General features: G+C 30.4%; 1 long non-coding RNA gene across 1 annotated transcript; it reads left to right on the top strand.

The window, feature by feature from the left end:
* The first annotated feature begins 1,001 nt into the window (after window positions 1-1,001).
* On the top strand, window positions 1,002-1,674 carry LOC124903306 (uncharacterized). The gene is made up of 2 exons (XR_007064135.1): window positions 1,002-1,126; window positions 1,542-1,674. It is a non-coding gene; the product is annotated as an uncharacterized LOC124903306 (long non-coding RNA).
* The last annotated feature ends 3,698 nt before the right edge of the window (window positions 1,675-5,372 follow it).

Raw genomic sequence — 5,372 nt, forward strand, 5'->3', positions numbered from 1 at the left:
TATTTCTATAAGAAATAATTATTTCTTATAGAAATATTATTTCTATATTAATTTTCTATATTAACTTTGAAAGTGAGCCCTTTCAAGGATATATTTTCAAAATATCTACCTTATTGTCATTTATGCAAAAATGTATATATATAAACAAAAGAAAGCTCCTTTTCTGCCTATGTGATACATATCACAGAATATTCATTATGCAAATGAATATTTTGCATATTAGAATTAGAATATCAGAATATTCTAATATTCCTATAAGAAATAATTATTTCTTATAGAAATATTATTTCTATATTAATTTTCTATATTATATTAACTTTGAAAGTGAGCCCTTTCAAGGATATATTTTCAAAATATCTACCTTATTGTCATTTATGCAAAAATGTATATATATAAACAAAAGAAAGCTCCTTTTCTGCTTATGTGATACATATCACAGAATATTCATTATGCAAATGAATATTTTGCACTTTCTTCTTCATCTGAAAGAGAGTTTTAAAATCTTTCTTGGTATATATTATTACAATGTGTGTTAAATTTGAGATGTATTTTTCCAAACATTTCATATTGTTTGTAATGCACTAATGCAAATTATCATTTGAGAATGAGACTAAATATGCAGCAGCAACAAGTTTTACTTTCAGCTCTGCCTAAAGAAAAGTGAGAGGCTGGGATAATTATAATAGTCTACAAGGATAAGAACATCACTGGTGAAGCTATCTTTATATAGATCTTATATTGTCATTTTAAATTAAAATATATATATTTTAATAAAAAGTTATTGTCTTCAATATGTCACCATCATTAATATAGATTGGATATTTGTTTCTTCCATATCTCATTCTGAATTGTAATTCCCAGTGTTGAAGGTGAGGCCAAGTGAGAGGTTTCTAGATAATGGGGGAGGACCCCTGATAAATGGTATAGTGCCGTCCCCTTGGTGATGAGTGAGTCAATGCAAGATCTGGCTGTTTAAAAGCGTGTGGCACCTCCCCCTTCCCACTCTTGCTTCCTCTCTTGCCATGTGAAACACTTGCTCCTCTTTTGCCTTCCATCATAATTGTAGGCTTCCTGCAGCCTCCTCAGAAGCAGATGCTGGAGCCATGCTTGCACAGCCTGCAAAACCGTGAGTCAACTAAACCTATTTTATTTACCAATTGCCCAGCCTCAAATATTTCTTTATAGCAATGCAAATGTCCTATACAATCGTCATAAAAAATTTACATCATTTATAAAGTACTGGATGATATTTTAGTAAAATTAATTTTAATAACTATATTTTGTCTATTTGCTTTATGGGATTTTTAAATATGGAGAGTCAATATAAGCTAAAATCAAAGAGCACTTAATGTTTGCTACAGTCTGAATGTGTTTTCTCAAAATTTATATGTTGAAATTTAATTGCAAATATAATTATATTAAGAGATGAAGACTTTAAAAAGTGAATAAGTCATGAAAGCTTTGCTCTCATGAATGGAGTTAATGACCTTATAAAAAAAAGTTGCTAGGCTGCTGTTTCTCCCTTTTTGCCTTTCCAACAGGTGAAGACACAGCAACAGTGTCATTTATGGAACAGAGATTTAGATCACCAGATACTGAATCTGCCTATGCCTTGATATTGGACATCACAGTCTTCAAAACTGTATAAATAAATTTATGTTATTTATAAAATAATCAGCCTAAGGTATTTTGTTATAGCTGCAGAAACAGACTCAGGCAATATTTTTCCTGTTTTAAATATTCCTTACATTGTTTGAAGTTACATAAAGCCACATTTGTATGTTTTTAACTTTTATTAAAATCTTTAAGAAAGATTCTAAGCATGTTTCTGTTTAAGCTGATGTTATTCTCACACACACACACACACACGTGCAAGCACAGACACGAATCTATGTTTAGGCGACCAGGTTGTTCTATCTAGAAAATTTACTGAAACAGCTGTGTTTGAAGGCCTATGGAGTTAGATTTTTTATTTGTCCAAAAAGGAGCTTGATGCAAACATGTAACTACCATTATCCTAAATAACCAAAGAGCATTGATGTCATTTCTCAGAACAATGGATGGAAAAAATTTAATTAACTCACTTTCAGAAAAGCATTTCTGAAATGTCAGTACCTGAGCATTTATTTCTTGAATAGCCTAAAAAAATCTTTTGCCATAATAGTTTTTTATGATAGTGACTCCAGTTTTCATGATAGCCTAAGAATTAATAATCTATTAAATAAAATGTTTTCATTTATTCCAGGAAGTCTAAGAATATTTTTGAATCCCCAAATGCCCACTAAACACTCCAGTTTTCTGAGGATAAAGTGTTTTTTTTTATTGGGTACTAAAAAGCACATAGATTTTTGTCTTCTTGTGAAAAGCTTTTGTAAGTGTATTGAGAAAATAGAAATTGCAAAAACATTAAGAGACTTTTTATTATTTGAAGACATAGCTCATTTTGCCCAGGTGTGCTATCACAATAGATATATCAAGCATGTGTACTGTACAAGTAATACAATTTTATAGGAAAAGAAAGCATTGTTTTAAAATTATTGGAATGGATGGATCTAACTGTTGCCTTCTAATACAGCAGACTTTACCATATATAATAAAGAGGAAATATTCTTAAGAATATCTTATTTATATGATTATTTTTCTTTAATAATGAAAAAAGTAGATATGTCATGAATAGATGTAGAAAATTACAAAAACAGGGTTAAAACCCATTGTTTAGTCAGAGGTAGCATGAAGACATCAAATAAAAACTATATTAAAATATCTTCAAATGTGTACCTGTTCATTTTTTAGAAGTTTCTTGGTTTTTTAATCTGTTTTACTTGCCTTTTTCAATCTTTTTTTAGAAAAATGAAATTAAAGAAACTAAACATATTCAGATTAATTTTTTCCTCCATGTCATTATGTTATTCTAATTACTCTGTGTCTTTGGGAGTTTGATTAATTACTACCCTGGAAGCACAGTATCTTTACCTCTATTTAATAATTTTGGATTTTCTTAGCATTCATTCATTCTTCTATCCATTACTCAAATATTTTCTACTGTATTTCCATGTTTTCTTTTGTATTTTCCCAGGTAATCTTTGCTGCCACAATCACACAGACATAAAGTGAAAGGATAATTTTTTTCTTGCATCTGTTGTGAAAACCTTAGTAACAAATAGTAACTGTTCCAAGACTGTCAAATAGATTTATAAGATATTTTCACATGATAGAGTTCTGTTAGAATTTTTCACTACACTAACTGACATAAAAATGATGTTACTCATGCAGGAGAAAAGTGATCTTTAATGACAGCTCAGGACAATAAGAAAAAGAAAACTAAAAAGGGGAAGGCGGAAGCATATGTGTAGTAAAAATAAACATTGACCATATAAAAGTAAAAATAATCACCTGTCGAGCTTAAATAGAGAGTAAAAAATATCTGATAATAATACCACAAAAGGCAAGAGAGGGTAAGATAAATAAATATTCACTTTTAAATATCAATTTTAAACGGATTGATAAATGAGAAGATGGCTAAAATGCCCATAAACTAAGCAGAGCTTAATTTAGAATCACAATAAGAGGAAATTTGTTTATTGAGATAGTAGTAAAGCATGACATTATAATTGTGCTTATAATATCAAGAATAATATAATCTCTAGAGATACCATAATACTTGAAGGAATACTTAATTAATGCTAACAAAGGCAGATGCTGAAATCAAGATTATTAATCAGGAAGAAGTCAATAATAGAGATAAAAATAAATGTAAGTGTAAAGCACAAACGAATATGAGTAAATGTATCAGGAATTACATTAAATATAATACACAAATGTAAAGACAAAAGACTTTATATTGTTTAATCAGTAAAAGAAACATCTAATTTACAGCAAAAGTAAATATCAGAAGAAATAATAACAAAACGGATCACTCAACAAACTTTCCAGCAGCCAATCATAACTTCCCAGAAAATGTGGTAGAAGTAATAACATCCCATTCACTATCAGATAGAAAAATTATAATATTCCTAAGAAATGTCCAAGATTATTATACAAAAATCTCTAAATAGCATTTGTCAAAATGTACAGTGGAATTATCCAGATGCTACGTACCAGACATTTAGTCTTCCAATAGATTAAATTTAGGAGCAGATATAGGAAGCATCAAAGACTTTTAAAAATCCCAAACAATGTAACTCTTATCACGGATTTTTTTGTCATTTCTGTTTATGTTTGTTTATTTTGTTTTGGAGAATAATGCTATTTTTCTGATAAAGCATGCTAAATGTGTTAATGTATAATGGATGCTTTAACTTTATTTCTAAATGAATTACTATGTTTTATATTTTACTATACATTACCCTGTTTTATATTTCACAATTTTTAACAAAGTGACTCCCTGTAGCTAGATTGTAAAGGAGTCCTGAGACCAAAATGCTTGTTCTAAACAGCTGCAAACAAAGGTAAAAGAAGATGTACTGTTTCTATTTTAATATATACATGTTAAAACTATTACTTCTTCCAAAGCCAATCTGCAAGCTGAAAACTGGGTTTCACTGCTTTATTTTAGAAACATTCATGTTTATATTCAAATTTATATGTATGTCTATAGATTCATGAGTAAGATCATTTCAAGCTTGATCATTTAATTTGAGATTCTTGCCTATTTAAAAAGCTGAAATATAGCATCAGAGGAGATACATTAGTATGAACACACTAAAAAATTCTACAGCCTTAAAACTGGCATTCCAATATATTAGGAAAAATAAAGGGGTTGGGGGAGAAGGGAGTTAAGGGAGGCTGAAGAGGATAAGTTGCAGAAGACTTAAAAAATCTTAATCTGAAAATTATTCAATTCACATGTTGTGATGGTTAATACTGAATGTCAACTTGACTGGATTGAAGGATACAAAGTATTGATCCTGGTTGTGTCTGTGAGGGTGTTGTCAAAGGATATTAACATTTGAGTCAGTGGACAGGAAAAGGCACACCCACCCTTAATCTGGTGGGCACAATTTCATCAGCTGCCAATGAATATAAAGCAGGCAGAAAAACATGAAAAGGAGAGACTGGCCTAGCCTCCCAGCTTACATCTGTCTCCCATGCTGGATGCTTCCTGGCCTTGAACACTGGCCTCCAAGTTCTTCAGTTTTGGGACTCGAATTGACTCTCCTGCGCCTCAGCTTGCAGAAAGCCTATTGTTCGACCTTGTGATCGTGTAAGTTAATATTTAATAAACCTCCCTTTATATATATATATATCCTATTAGTTCTGTCACTCTAGAGAACCCTAATACACATGCAATCAATAAAGCATTATGATCAATTTGAAGAAACAATGCAGCGACAAATCCATTAAGAGGTATACATTTTAAAACTTCTATAATG

This window comes from Homo sapiens, chromosome 14, assembly GCF_000001405.40.
Source record: "Homo sapiens chromosome 14, GRCh38.p14 Primary Assembly".
Taxonomy (NCBI): Eukaryota; Metazoa; Chordata; class Mammalia; order Primates; family Hominidae; genus Homo; species Homo sapiens.